The sequence below is a fragment of the Homo sapiens genome, chromosome 15 (assembly GCF_000001405.40).
Source record: "Homo sapiens chromosome 15, GRCh38.p14 Primary Assembly".
In the NCBI taxonomy this organism is placed as follows: domain Eukaryota; kingdom Metazoa; phylum Chordata; class Mammalia; order Primates; family Hominidae; genus Homo; species Homo sapiens.
This window is the reverse complement of record NC_000015.10, coordinates 80,816,761-80,831,949: the sequence shown is the minus strand read 5'-3', so window position 1 is coordinate 80,831,949 and position 15,189 is coordinate 80,816,761. Positions and strand designations below refer to the sequence as shown.

General features: G+C 45.7%; 1 protein-coding gene and 1 long non-coding RNA gene across 10 annotated transcripts in view, besides 1 other annotated feature; one reads left to right on the top strand and one right to left on the bottom strand.

Moving 5' to 3' along the window:
* CEMIP (cell migration inducing hyaluronidase 1) overlaps positions 1 to 15,189 on the bottom strand; it is a 172,402-nt gene that overhangs the window by 119,822 nt on the left and 37,391 nt on the right. The gene's annotated exons all lie outside the window — the stretch shown is intronic.
* Positions 309 to 999: an enhancer, noted in NCBI's record as "H3K27ac-H3K4me1 hESC enhancer chr15:81123292-81123982 (GRCh37/hg19 assembly coordinates)". NCBI's record gives its function as "activates a minimal SCP1, AML or CMV promoter by ChIP-STARR-seq in naive H9 embryonic stem cells {active_cell/tissue: H9 hESC(naive)}" and the evidence as "EXISTENCE:reporter gene assay evidence [ECO:0000049][PMID:30033119]".
* On the top strand, positions 4,521 to 13,507 carry LOC124903539 (uncharacterized). The gene is made up of 2 exons (XR_007064733.1): positions 4,521 to 4,811; positions 12,428 to 13,507. It is a non-coding gene; the product is annotated as an uncharacterized LOC124903539 (long non-coding RNA).

Genomic DNA, 15,189 nt, shown 5'->3' with positions numbered 1-15,189 from the left:
CCTTTTGGAAACCCACCTTTCCCCTGCAGCTCCATTTGTACACAGATCAACGTGAGGAAGGCCAGGGAGAAGGAATTTGGCACTAACGCCCTTGAATGAGCCCAGTGGCCAGCAGCTGCACCCAGAGTCCCTCTGACAAGAAAGACAACAAGCTGTGACTTGTGGTCAGCTTGAGGACACCTGACCTTCACCACCACAGTTGCCCAGCATGAACCCCTCTGGACACACAGAGCTGCAGGTCTCTGTAAGGAGATACAGTTGGAACCTGGATACTCCAGCCGGGGCTTTGGAGTCATCTGGAATGCTCACCGGTGCCCTGTATTCACTATCTCCACGTGGGACCCAGTTCAGAGAGGCTGGTCTTTCCCTACCCATTGGCTTGCTGCTTGACTCTGAAAGTAGCATGATTAGCCCAGGTCACAGGTGCCACCTCCCAGAGATCCTGAGCCAACACGCTGTGCATCCTGTCCCCCCAACTTAGCCCTAATCTGCACTCCTGTGCCCACTGTGAAACTGGAATCAGCGGCTTGGGAAGTGCCGTGGCCCACTGAGCCCATCGAGCTCTGCTTGTCACGTGACCTTAGACACTGCCAGAAAGACATCCTCACAGGCTCTCTCTATCCTCCCCCAATCCCCCAGCCACCCATGCTTTCTCTGAGCCTCTCCCACGATACCTTCCAGAGCTCCTGTTCTATAATTCACAACCTTGCCTAAACCTCAACACCTTCACGGAAAGTGCTCTCTACCTCCTACCTAGACCAAAAGCCAGTTCTTTCTCAAACACGCGGAGTCCTATCAGTCTCCTGAGGTCACCCGTTTCCCACACCTCCCAAATTTCCAGGTTGGAAGGTAGGTTGGAAGGCTAGACCAAGGTTCTCAAAACTAACAGTACATAATCTCCCAGCACGGTAACTGCCTCTTGATTTACTTCTGCCTACATGTGAACTCCAGGGGGTCAGTGCTGGACCCAGTACATGATTAATATAGGCAAAATACACATAAAACATTCAGTACATGTTGAATGACTTAATGGATACAAGCAGATATTATTGCCCCCATTTTACAGGTATGGAAACTGAGCCTCAGAGAAGTTAACAGATGTGCCTAGTCATACAACAAGCAGGTAGCAGAACCACAGCTTGAACCAGGTCATCTGCATCCTCCACACCTTGCTATCTAGTAACATTACTCAGCCCATGGGGTCATGATTAGATAAGCTAAAAACATAGCTTAAAAATAAAGATAATTTTATTTCCAGTTAACACAAAGACTTCCAAAGAGCTCACAAGATGAAAGAAATAAAATGCAGGGAGTCACCTTAAAAAAAACAAAAACACAAAGACGTTCATCCCCCGGCAACTCCAAGGTGCCCCTTTCCTGCTCAAAGTACCCTCGAGGCAGGAGGGAGGGGATAGGAAGGTTGATCCCATTGAGCTCCAGGGCTCTGGGGCCATCCTTAGTCGTGGGCAGACAGACAGCTCAGAGAAATCACAGTCCTAGAACCAGAAGGGCACTTCCAGGGCATGCCAGTCCTGGCTCTTACTCCATCCTGGGCTCAGTCTGACACTGTAAGAGACAAAGAACTGTGGATACAGGCTACTACAGGAATCATGCTCACAGTCAGGGGCTGCTGCTTTATGCTAATTACAGTAATGACTGCAGGAAGTTGAACTGTGTCTTGTTGCTAACAGATAAATATGAAAAAAAGTAAATTACAAAATGCTGAGCCAATGACCAATAGGAGGGTTGAACAAAGGAAGTTTATGGGCGGATGTAAAAGTGACCAGCCATCAGCCTGGACCAGGAAACTTGGCCCATGAGGAATTGTGAGACAAGGAGTCATTTGTGTAGAGCGGTCCCAGATCCCCTTATAACATAAAAACTGGGTTAGGAGTGGTCAGAACCTCTGGAGCAGTGGCCTGGTTGCTTATTGGAAGGACATGCGCGCACACACACACACACACACACACACACACACACACACCCGCTACCTCCCTTCTATGGTACTAGGTCAAGAAGCATCAGTCCCAAGATAACTGCCTGGAGATTTGTGAGAAGAGATTTGCACAGTAAGATTTGGGGAAATTGCATAAAGGAAGCGTTGGTTTACCAGCCTTCCTATACTCCCCATAAAAACCCAATACTCCTTAAAGGTATTTGGTCAACCTGCAGAAATTCCTGCCTCTGATGTGCACAGCCCCAGAGCAGGCCTTCTAGGTGCATCTACATTAGGCCCAGAGCCTGTGCAGCAAATCTCTGTTCTAAGAAACTCCTCATAACATCCCAGTAGTTAATTGATAAGAGCAGTTGCACTGGCTGAAATAGGGTGAAGACCAGCTTATTACCTCCTTTCCTCAAAACTCCAGAGAAACCTTTGTGTAAATCCTAGGGTTCCGTGGAATATGGTTTGAGAACTGATCTAAGGGGTGCCCAACATGGCAGGGCGGTCCAGAAGGATGAAAAATGTGGGTAGCTTTTAAAAGGAGAGGCTCTGTGGAACCACAAAGGTGGAAGTGAGACAGCAGGAGCTAATGAGGAACCGTGTGACAGGGAGCTAAGGGTGGCAGAGGCAGGCATCTCATTCCCAAAGGCATCAGCTGAGCAACAGCAGCAGCTGAATGAGGATCAGGAATCGTATGAGGGTGCTCAGGTATCAGGAACCCAGAAGACGGAAGGAGTGGGAGGGAAGGGCCCAAGCGGGAAAGACAAGCCCCTCAACCTCTAAGTCCTGAGGAAGGCCAGGGATGTGGGCGGTGACAGGTATTTCAAGGTGGGAGTTGAAGGCACTCTGGCCAGATGGGTCAGGCCTCCATCAGGGCAGGGATCAGGAGAACAGAGAAGGCCTGGAGCAGCTGTCAGGTGGGTTTGGGAATCCCTCTGGGATCACAAAATGTGGCCTCCACTGTGGGTCCCCAGCATGAGCTCCTAGCAGCTGTTCTCCACTTTAATTTCACAGACCACTTTCTGTGCAGGGAAAAGAGGAAGAGGCCATTGTTGCCAGTTGCAGATGAGCAATCCTGAACTCAGACTGAAATTCCAGTCCCCAGATTTCTACCCCACTCCTGGCTCACACAGATCAACTGCCATTGGAAGCATTGCAGCCATTTGTAAGTCTACTCAAGACCACTCCAGTGGAGACCTGTTCCAAAGCCTGGTTTTTAATTACAGCACCTACAACACAGACTGAGAAAAACAAGAGGAAGAAAACCAGTTCCTGTCATCTCAAAGTGCCTGCTATTTTTCTTAGAAGATTCAATTCCACTACGCCCTGCTTTTAGAAAACTCCATGTGTGAAATTCATAAATAGGCTAGGAAGTATATATTTACATCACCAGAAAAAATTCATTATATAAGAATATTCACTTTACAAATGATTAGCCATAGGTTTATTCTAAGGAATGAACAACCCTTCTAGTATTCAAAATATGTCTTTCAAATCAAGCTCTATGATCAAATGATTCAAATTGTGTATTGCCTTATTATTTTGGACAATGGGATGTTTGGACCAGACTTTTCACCTCTGGATTCTGGGACTGCTGCGTGGCATTCGGCATTTTTTTTTTTTCTTTTGAGACAGAGTCTCACTCTTTCACCCAGGCTGGAGTGCAGTGGCACAATCTCAGCTCACTGCAGCCTCCACCTTCTGGGTTCAAGTGATAGTCCTGGCTGAGCCTCCCGAGTAACTGGGATTACAGGCATCCACCACCACACCGGGCTAATTTTCTGTATTTTTAGTAGAGACGAGGTTTCACCATGTTAGCTAGGCTGGTCTCGAACCCCTGACCTCAGGTGATCTGCCTGCCTCGGCCTCCCAAAGTGCTAGGATTATAGGCGTGAGCCACCACACCCGGCCTGCATTCTTAAGAAGTCTTGGGGAAAACCAAAGCACTTTTCTTCACATGAAATCCTTTTTTTAACCCTTTGATAATGACTTTTTTCCTTCATGCCTCACATTCAAATATTTCAACTGGATCTATCTACTTAGGATTCTGACAGAGGTGGTATGAGACTGTTTCAAATCTTTCAGAGATGGGGAAGGGGAGATGGGGATAATTTAGATTTGCTACAGGAATGCCAAACTGATAAACTGACAGTAAATTAATTTTGCCAGCTTGGGAATTCCACAGTTTTGAGGGAGATGGAGGGAGGAGATTTTTCACTCTAGTCTCCTCTCCATGATAATTTTGTCAAAATTTCTCCAAGTCTCAGGTATGTAGATGCATCCTTTCCTAATTCTCAGTAGCAAAGGAATATGTTTCCTAATATAATCTGTTTGGTGGTTTGCAATGGATTTTCCTGGGGGAAGTTTTTTGTTGTTGTTGTTTGTTTTTGAAAAAGAGTCTCGCTCTGTCTCCCAGGCTGGAGTACAGTGGTGTGATCTCGGCTCACTGCAACCTCCACCTCCCGGGTTCAAGAGTTTCTCCTGCCTCAGCTTCCCAAGTAGCAGGGATTACAGGGACATACCACCATGCCCAGCTAATTTTTGTATTTTTAGTAGAGACAGGGTTTCACCATGTTGGCCAGGCTGGTCTCAAACTCCTGACCTCAGGTGATCCGCCCACTTCAGGAAGTTTAACATGCTGTGCAGGTCGTTGACTTTGGACTGAAAACTATCAGGCTATACTGCAGTATCTCTTTATAAGCCAGTTTCCCTTCTCCCACTACTCACTCCCATGGTGACCACCTTAGGGACAGAGTGGTATTTTCTCTCTTTCTCTCCCTTTCTCATATCAGGTAAAAAGAACTGAGTTAATCATGTGCTTCAAATGGTGGAACAAAATCATCACTGGGGACACGTCACCTATCCCCAGGTGAGACCTGGCCCACTGCTGTGCATGGTAGTGATTTGTCTAATGGATAAAGAAGCAGGTTGGAAGCAGCACCATGGAGTGAAAGGGCAGGAACTATGACCTTAGAAAGAGTAAACCCATCCTCAGTCCTGCTTCTTATTGTAGGACTTGGGACAAGTAACACAACCTCTAAATGGGCCTCAGTTTCCTCACCCATAAAATGTTTTTGAGTTATTAAGAGGATTAAATGAGGATGTTATGCTAAACAGAAGGTGAAAACTCAAACCCATCAGGGAACAGGTAGCTAAGAAATGAAGGGAGAGGCTGGGTGAGAGGCAATAAGGAGCAGTAGGGACTGTGGCCAACTGGAGGGCACACTGAAGCATGAATGCCACAGTTAAAGGCATCCATCCCTGGAAGGCCAAATGCATGACTTCTGTGGGCCAAATTTTGCCTATGACTGTGGCCTCTGCCCCAAGTCTGGCACATATGATTATATAATACTTATTATACCCTAATTATAACAGCGAAAGGTGGAGGCTCTGCAATTTGAGGCCTGCATAATTTAAAAGCCAAGAGACTATAGCTCAAGTTCAGGTCTTAGTTCTCTGCAAGACTCGCTCTGATCATGAGTTGCTGCATAAACCTATAACTTGGTTTGTACACTGAAAATCCAGGAAAACCCTTGCTATGACCACAAAAGACAGCACCAAAAAGTGTTAAGTGATATTCTTGGTACTGACCAGCTTATTCTAAAGTAGCCCTTTGCTTACCCTAAGGCAAGATGTAGAAGCCTCATAGAAGCCAAGGCCACTAAAGGTTACTATGCACCAGGAAGGCGGCAGGGGAAATGAGAGAAAAGAGCTGCATGCAGAATAAACCCAAACAGACAACAAAAATGCCCAGACTGGTAACTTGACAGCAAATGAGTTTTGTAAATAATGCAGTATTTGTAGCATCCGGAGAAAATACACTATCTAAAATATAAGATCTTTGAGAGTAGGATCACATATATTTTTAATTCCCTACCATGCATAAAGCAGCCTAGCATGCAGAAGGAGATGGTTAACACTAAATGAATGAAAATGATTGGATGGAGTTGCACAGAAGAAAGACGTGCAGATGGTGAAGTTCCTAAGTAACAATTTGTACAATTGTAGGTGGGAGAGTCTAAAAGGTGAGTCTGTATGTCATACAAACAGAGAAGGCCAGGTGCCCACAATCTTTTCTTTATCTCAGATGTTTCTGTTGCCTGGGCAATAACAGACAAATGTGCCCTCGGGCAGTCTGTGATGGTCAGAGGACAGTCGGAGCAACAGCACAGGAGAGCTATCTGCAGATCTTAGTTGGGGAAAGGGGAGCATTCTTAAAGCCCGAGGGGTCATCCTGCATCTTGCCACCCATTCTGTGCCCTGAATGATATCTGAGAGATCTGGCCAGATGCAAATCCAGGGCCTTGGCTTCAAAGTGAAATCGCTGATGGACACTTTGCCTCTCTCACTTTTGTTCTCCTCCCAATGCTAATGAGAAGGCGCAATGGCTTTGCTTACTTGTTTGAACCATGGCCATGCATGCTGTGGCTTGGCCAATGCTCAGCATTTGGAGTGGTTTAAATAGCAGGTCAGACAGAGGACTTTCTAGCCCAGCCCTGTCCTGGAAATTCTTATTAACATTTACAAGAATAAGAGGAGAAAATAATGCCTGCTTCACCGAGGGTGGGGGAAAGGGCTTGGGCCTTGAAGTTAGGAATTGTACATTTTTTTCCTGGTTCAGCTATTCACTACTATGTGTTTTTCTTGACACATCATTTAACCTTGCTGAGCCTCAGTTTCCTCATTTATAAATTGAAGGTAATGCTACCATAGGTTTGTTGTGAGTTATTAAATGAAGTTTTACGCACACATGCACACACACACACACACACTTCATAGTGGTACAATGCCCATCCGGTACACAGTTAACTCTTAGTTATTGTCTTCACCTATAAATGGTGATATCAAGACCTCTCAAACCTACATCACAAGTTTGTTATGACAGCCCATAGGTAAGATGTGAGCAGGCTGGGGTGCTGATGACACCTCCTTCCTCCCTCTTTAGCTGGTGGGGAATACATGCAGACCCAAATGGAGATCAAAGGATCTATTTTACTCAAGCTCACAGTTCACAGCTCAAGAATATTCCAGAACTTCATATATCCCAATCTGATGATAAAAGCTGAGCCCAAACATAGGAAAACACTGCTTCTGCCACAGGCCCTGCGAGATCACTTTCTGAGCTGGAGAAAAGTGGGCCTATTGAGTCTGTCCCAACTAGTCTGCTTACTATGTGGGAACCAGAAACATAAGCACCCACCCTACCTAGTTCAAAGAGGTGGGAAGAATCAAAGACAAGAGACAATGAGCCTTTCCTATTTAGTAACCATCTTTCCAACTACTTATAAAATGTAATTAGTGAATCAAGACAATATTAAAGAACCGGCCACCCTGTTGGGCCAGGCTGCTGATGTCAGAATAATGTGCACACCTCCTGCCCCCTCCCCTCCAAATAGAGGCCAGAATATCCAAATGTGTTGAATTGAGGTGTAGTGGCTGGGGACATGGATGGCTCCAAGTGCTCATGGGGCAAGAGGCTGCGGGTCTGGAGCAGAGGATGCTGGAGACTGTCCTCTTGGGTCTTAAGAGGAGAGGACAGGAGCAACAAGCAGAACTCTTCAGGGATGCCAGCTGAGACTGTGACAGAGGGGACTGCCCTGGTGACAGTTTCACCCAGAAGCCCAAAAGATGAGAATCTGAGGCCCAAACAAGAAAAGACCCTATGCCACCCTCAAGAGCAGGTGGCACTAGTGGGTAAGCACCAGCAGGTGAGGGTGGGGGAGCTGCAGCTGTGGACTGGACTGCCTCGAATCTTATAGCACAGCCATGAAATATAAAGCAAACATCCCTCACTTCCCCTTTTCAAACTCCAGGCAGATGTCACTCATCAAACACAACACCCGTCCCCAGGGCCCCCCAGTGTGCCTTCACGGTCTTTCTCACTTGCGCTGATAAGCAAGACAAAGCCTAATTGCTGTCCCAGGCTAAAGAAAAGACTTATAGCCCCAACAGCAGGGAGAGTTCAGTGCTTCAGACATGCCAAATTCAGGGGTGCATTGACCAGGCCCCTTCTTGATGCTGTGCTGGGGTCTTAGAGTCTGCACATTGGGGGTTAAATCCCAGCTTTACCACTTAACAGGTGTGCTCAGTTTCCCCATCTGTGAGACAGGGATAGTTTACAGGTGGATGAGAGAATTCCCACACCTGGCCTTCTGTTGGGCATATTGTAAATGTGAAAGAAAGGTCCATCGTCTTTTTTCTTGTATTCATCATTTCACCTTCTGGAAGTGCCTTCATTTTGACCTCAGTCCAAATATACAACTCACAGAACATTCTTATCACCTCTCCCTATCTTAAAAATTAGTAAAACTGTTAAGATTTACCCATACCTGGTGTAGCTGGAACCCACCATCAGGGTTGAGTTGGGAAAATGGGGCCTCCTCATATCTAGTCTCAGGACAGGAGACCCCAAGTGATGGCGTGGGTGGTTTGAGGATTACAGAAGGGGAAAGGGACTGGGTCCCCAGGGTCTAGGGGAGAAGGTGGACCTGTTGGAAAGCTGAGCTAAGACTGAAAAGTCCCTGCAGAGCCACATCAGGAGACCTCTGTGGTTGACAACAGGATCCCAAGTCTCCATCCATGCCCCAACTAATTCTGGCCCTGGAATGCCAGGGCAGATTCCTCTCACTGACGGCATCATCTCCAAAGGCCTCACGTGGGTACACACTTTGCTCCTGGCCAACCCTCTGGGGACTCCAACTGTGTCTGAAGCTAGTTGCCATCAACGGAACGACTTGTGTTTAGCTCAAGGGGAATTAACACATACAAATATCTGTAAAAACCACACAGGCCGAGACTCCCCAGGGGTGTAAACAGAGGCATACTCTCATTTAAACAAGAAATTCAAACAAACCGTTTCTCCATTTCCCTTCCTGAAACCCTGTTCTCTCCCATTTAAATCTTAGCGTAAGAAAGGATTGCGGGTTGTTGTTGTTGTTGTTATTGTTATTTTAATATGCAAAATAGCGGATGCCCAGAAACATTCAGCAATTTTTCAGGACCACACAATCAGTCAGTAGCTCATCCAAGCCTGGATTCTGGCCCCTGGACTCCCAGCCCCATGTTCTCACTTCGTTTGACTGTTTCTCAAATTTGGCTCTCATTTCTGACCATCTGTTTGAAAAGCTCAAGAGTGAGGAGGTGTCCTGTGTGGCAGCAGATGGAAGTCAATCAAGGCATATAAACCAAATGGCACCACGTTGGGGAGAGGGACACTCTCAAAGTGGAAATATCCTCATTTGATGCCACAAACAACATGAGAGGAGGAAATAAAACCAAATCGTTAGCCAAGCAGCTGTGCTTGGTCCTACGAAAACCGAGCCACCTTAGAGTGTTCACCATCACTGGGCAAGCCACTGTTTTCAATGTGGTATTGACACTGCTAATGTCAGATCAGAGCTTTCTGCTCTGAGCTTATTCACAATCTTTTCTGTCCTTCATGTGGAAAATCAAGGAGAAAGACTGGGTCTTGTGAAAACAGAGCCTGCATAAGAACCGGACAGTGACAGCTTAAAGGGAGGCTCATGAATCCACACCAAGGGGAACCTGGCCCTCGTTTCAGAGACCTGATGCCTGGCACAGGCTGGATTTGGGTTGGAAAGGGACAGAGCTGTGACTGCACATATGAGAAGACTGTCAAAACACCATGAGGTCATTACAAACATCAATCACCCTCACTTCCTGCAAGGTCTCTGAGGTGGTAGCCCCAGCGGCAGGCAACAGGGAGGCTCATGCATTCAGTCAACAGCCATGCTCTGAGTGCCTGCAGAAAACCAGGCTCTGGGCTCGGCACTGGGACTGATGGGAAACACATCTGGGGGAGCCAGGAAGCTGTGCACAAGAAGCATCAAAGTTTCAGTCTTGACTGGGAGCTTCTGTCGAAGCCAGTTGGATGTACAATGGCTTCAGGGGCTGTCAGATCCCAGGTAACACTGGGACACATTGGCACACTTCCAGTTATTCTCCACTTGAGGATGAACTGATCCAATCATAGCACCACAGTCTCAAGGTGCAGCAACCAGGAGGAAAAGAAAACCAGCTGTGTCACTCTTCAGGTGCCCAATGGCAAACAACAGCCTTCCAACATGGCGGCCTCTAGAAAGTTCAAGTGCTTCCAAGAGCTCCTGACATGCATACCTTTCTAATCCCAAGGGGAGACTGTCCTGAGAGTCCCTTTCAGGGATCTGCCACACAGAGCTGTGCCTTCAGGCAGTCCTCCTTCTCCTTTCAGCCCCAATTTGTTCCATGGCCCATGGGCACCTCTAAGTAGCCCATTAGAAGAAGTTCCAATGGAGAGAAAGAGATGTAAGGGATACACAAAGGTCTTTTCTCCCCCAAAGACCTCATTCCCTCTCCCTCACACTGTCCCCTCTCACACCCTGATTGAGTGGCAACCCTTCAGCCTGTCTTCTTGGATGAACCTGTCTACTCATCTCTCACAGGCCTCTTGAATATGCTCTTCTATTTTCGGACCCTATTATTTTCACCTGGTTGATGGAAAAAGCCTCCCTGCCGATCTCCCTGCTTTTATCTACCTGCTTCTACCCAATCCACGTAGTTGCCAGAACTATCTTCCTAGAAAGCACCTGTACTCATCCTTTCTCCTGCCTAAACGCTTTCCACAGCTGTTGGCTATATATGGGTCATAACTTCCTAACATGAACTTTTATAACTTGACCTCTGCTTCTCTTTCTGGTCACTGACAGCACTGGTAGATCAAACCACCAGGAATAAAACAGAAATTAAGGTTCCTGAATGCAATAAGCCAGGAAATAATGAGTCTCCCATGCTCCCTGCTCCCTCATTCCTCTGAGTTGTCTGCATCCTCACAATGCCATCCTGCCAGCAGCTATTTCCCCGTGAGATTATGTGCTCCAAGGGGCCAGCAGATGAGTGAAGCTCATCTCTAAATTCTGAGCAACCAGCACAGAGCCAGTTGTTTGAACAGTTCCTTTCCAACTACTGCCTTCTCAAAGGTTTCACATCTTTATGATGAAGTGCAAATTTCACTATTTTGAAGCATCTTTTGGGTTCCAAACTCTGTATCAGACACTTTCACATTTTTAGTTTACTTGATCCTCCCCTTGTAAACTAGTTAATAATAACATAAAACAGTAATATTCAAAACATATTTAACATTTATTAAATACCAGAAATTGTCCTAAGTATTCCCATGTTTACATTCATTTACTGTGTACAGCGTCCCAGCGGGTTAAGTATTATTATAATTTCTTTTCTATAATAGGTGAGAAAACTGAGGTTTGAAAAGGTTGAGGGACTTAACTACAGTTACCTAGTTCTCACTGTCCTCGGGAATTAAATCCAGATCTATCAGCTTCTATGGCCTGTGCCCTTAATAACTATTATTACCCCCTTTTACAGACTCAGAAACTGAGAATCAGAAAGTTGAGGGAGTAGTTCAGGGTCACTTGGCTAGTCAGCAGCCAAGCCAGCCCTCCTGAATCCACATCCTATGCTGTGATCCACTGCTACTCCTTGTAACTGATGATCCTGACTGTGGTTCAGGTTGGATGAATCAAGGAAAAAACCTTGACCCATCAAAAACCAGGTTCCTAAGCTAAGAAGACCCCAGGAGAGCATACGCATCTATGAATATAAAGGATACACTATGCTACCAGTCCTCAGAAATTTATGCAGGCCAAAGGAATACTGGGCTCTGCTTGAATATTTTTGGCAGTTGGGAAGACATGTGACTCACGGTATTTATAAGGAACAGGCTGCCCACTTTCCTCTGACCAGTCTGGGTAGCAGCACTACCATGGAATACCACTGCCCTGGAGAATTCCAGATTAAATAGAGGAAAATCAGTCAGGGAAAAGAAACATCCAACTCAGAGAGAGAGGGAGACAGAAGAGGTGGCATGTTTTTGCACAGCCCCACGGAATTCTGGAACAGTCCAGAGCAGGAGCTGTGACCTTAGCCGAGAATCAAAGATTAACATGGGCAAGAGAAAGGCTGGTTGAGCTTCACTGTCCCACCCTTGTCATGCTGGCCACTTTGAGATGTCTACAATTCAATTCTCTGGTTGACTGCAGAAGTCAAGGGGTTTCAGACAGACTTGCCTTTGAATCCTGACTCTGTCCTATTGTGACCAAGTGACCAAGTCAACCAACTTAACTGAGCCTCAGTTTCCTCCATCCACAAAATAGGGTTATTGAGACCCATAGCTCAAGGATATTCATGAGGATCAATGTCATAATGTATAAGAAATACCTGGCATGGGCCTAAAGTAGGTGCTTAATAAATGTTCCCCCATTCCCTTCCTCTTTCTCTAAGAGAAGATCCTTTCTTTCCTCCTTAAAACAAAATAGGCTGAAAGCAATCTAGCCCATCATTTAAAATGATTAAAGTCCCCAATTTCTGTTTATGAATGCTGTAGAGGGTAAAGGGGGAATACTCAGGGTGTGCTGTCATTGGTCTTGGTGAACATAAATTTGAGGAATTGTACCAATGTTCCCATTCCAGGTCACATCCTGTCATGATCAAGACATTAATGGATATGACAAAGATCCCAGATGAAAAGCAACTTCTGAACCACACCACTGGCATCCTGATTAAAGCAAACATAAGCAAGCCGAACCCAGCAAGACATCTGGAACCATCCCTAAGAGTGACCATCCACTAGACAGGACCCAACCCTGCCATGAGTGGAATCAACTTCCTGTCTCATGAGACTGCAGATTTCAAATCCTGTGCCTCTCCATGGCTTCCTGAGCTCCTAACCACACTCTGACAGGCATGGCATCTATGCAAAAAGGGAAATGAGTGAGGCCAGTTGAAGAATTATATAATCCTCCATTTTAAAAATAGGACTGGGTATTTTTGGAAAGAACTAGCTGGGTGAGTTATTTAACAGCCTTTCTGGCTAGCCTGTGGAAACTCAGAAAATGGCATTCTCTCAGGGTCTCTAGAAAGATGTGTTACCTGGTACAGCCAAAGAAGACTGAAGATGCCCAGGCTGGGCTGAACCTGGGACAATGCAGAGATAACCTGGTCCTTTGTAAGCTGTGGACTGGCCCTGTAATGCACGCTGGGAAGAGAGGAGTTTGGAAGCCACTCCCCAGGATGGATCTCTGTAGGCAAATCCTTTCAACAGCTACTGTGAAGCCCTCTGAGCGATGCGATTGATTAAGGTTGACAAAAGCCTGGCAATGGCTTCCACTCCCCACTTCTTGTTCCCATGTTAGACATTATTAATCAATTACAACTCTTTCTCTACAAGCCCCAGAACCAATCCTTTACACAAATCTCCCAGAAGCCACCAACAATCAGTGGGAGTTGGCACGAGGTGAGACTTCTCCAGTCTGTCTGCAGTAGCTAGTAAGTGGTGCACTGGCTTCAGTTTGGACCACTGCTACATCGTGGAGTTGACCTGTTGAAATTGATGAGCTATTCTGACATCAGTAATGCTCCCTGCAGCTTAGAGTTCAGGACTTCCGTTGTGATACAAATACAGCTGCTTGGAGAATGAAAATATTCATATATTTTTGGAGCTAATTCTAAGTACTTTCAAGTCTGTGCCAAAATTAAAACTGTTCAGAAATACTCTGATTCTCTTCTCCTTTGGGCCCATGATAAGTTTGCACTTCTCCTGCCCCTTTTCAAGTGAGACTATGGCCATGTGACTTGGTTTGGCCGATGATACATGAGTAGAAGTGACATATGTCACACAAGTGAAGTCTTAAGAGCCAGTGTATGATCCACCATGCTCCCTCTCCTCTGCCCTGGTGATGGTAGAAGCATATATGGAGGTGCAGCTTCCCCAGCAAGGGGTCTTGCATGACTGTGAGAGACAGTATCTCCTTGCTAACACACATTGGACATGAACATGAGTGAGAAATACATATTTTTTTGTAGTAAGCTGCTGAAATTTGGGGATTGTTTGTTCCTGCAGCATTGCTTTACTTATCCTGACTTTTACAAACACTTTCAGCTAGTCATTCCATCGGATCCTCTCAACAACCACGTAAAATAGGAAAAATGCTATTATCTACATCATACAAATAAGATGACGAATGCCCAGAGAGGTTAAATAATTAAGAAACACTGAAACCTTTTACATTAACTGACCAACACCTATTGCCAAAATGGAAATGTATATGCTCTGATCATATAATTTTTACAAGAAGTGGTGCATTTAAGCAAGTCATAGATCTCACTGAAAAATTAAATATTGTCTGAAAATTGACCCAGAAGCACCAAACACAATCATCCAAGAATAAAGCCACAATTTGCCACCGCAGCCTCCTAAATTGCAGTTCTCGCTCATCTTTGCAGCAGTTGTCAGGATCCTCACAGCCACATACCCCCAAATGTTCCCATAATCCTCTCTGCTTCTACTTACATATTATTATTATTATTATTATTATTATTATTATTATTATTTTGAGACAGGGTCCCACTCTGTCACTCAGGCTGGAGTGCAGTGATGCAATCACCGCTCACCACAACCTCTACCTCCCGGACTCAAGTGATCCTCCCACCTCAGCCTCCTGAGTAGCTGGGACTACAGGCACACACCACCATGGCTGGCTAATTTTTGTTGTTGTTGTTTTTGTAGAGATGGGGTTTTGCCGTGTTGCTCAGACTGGTCTTGAACTCCTGAGCTCAAGCTATTCACCCACCTCGTCCTCTCAGTAGTGTAGTGCTGGGACTACAGGTGTGAGCCACTATGCCCAGCCTACTCACACATCATTTATGCAAATCCTATTCTCCTATAAGCAATATCCAATTATTTGAGCAACTTTCTCCTCACTTCTCCTTCAAATGACAGACACTACATGTTCCAGGGCAGCCTGTCCCACAGCCTTCCGCATCCCCAGCTCCACGCTGTGTATAATCATAATAATTACATCAGCCAAGGTATCGTCATTTTAGCTCCTTCCTCCTTCACCATGGCTTTCCGTTTCTATTTCTATATAAATAGCCTTGTTATAAACTGTTTACTGTCAGCCAACTCCATTCTTTTCTGGAAGTAGGCAGAGTATATATTACAAACATAAAAATATAATAATAGACTTACCTTTACTCTGTTCAGGCATATAAATAAGATCTCTGGGCTGAAGCCTGAGGAGCGAGAACCCCGTCTGCCGCTTTGTTTGCAGTTACTCTCCTAGAGTAACGGTGCACTGTAGGCTCCTAATCACAAGTATTCATTGCTCACCTGGTTTGTGCTCATTACTGGGCTTGGAGCTGTGCAGGTACAAGGACACAATGTCCTCTCACCC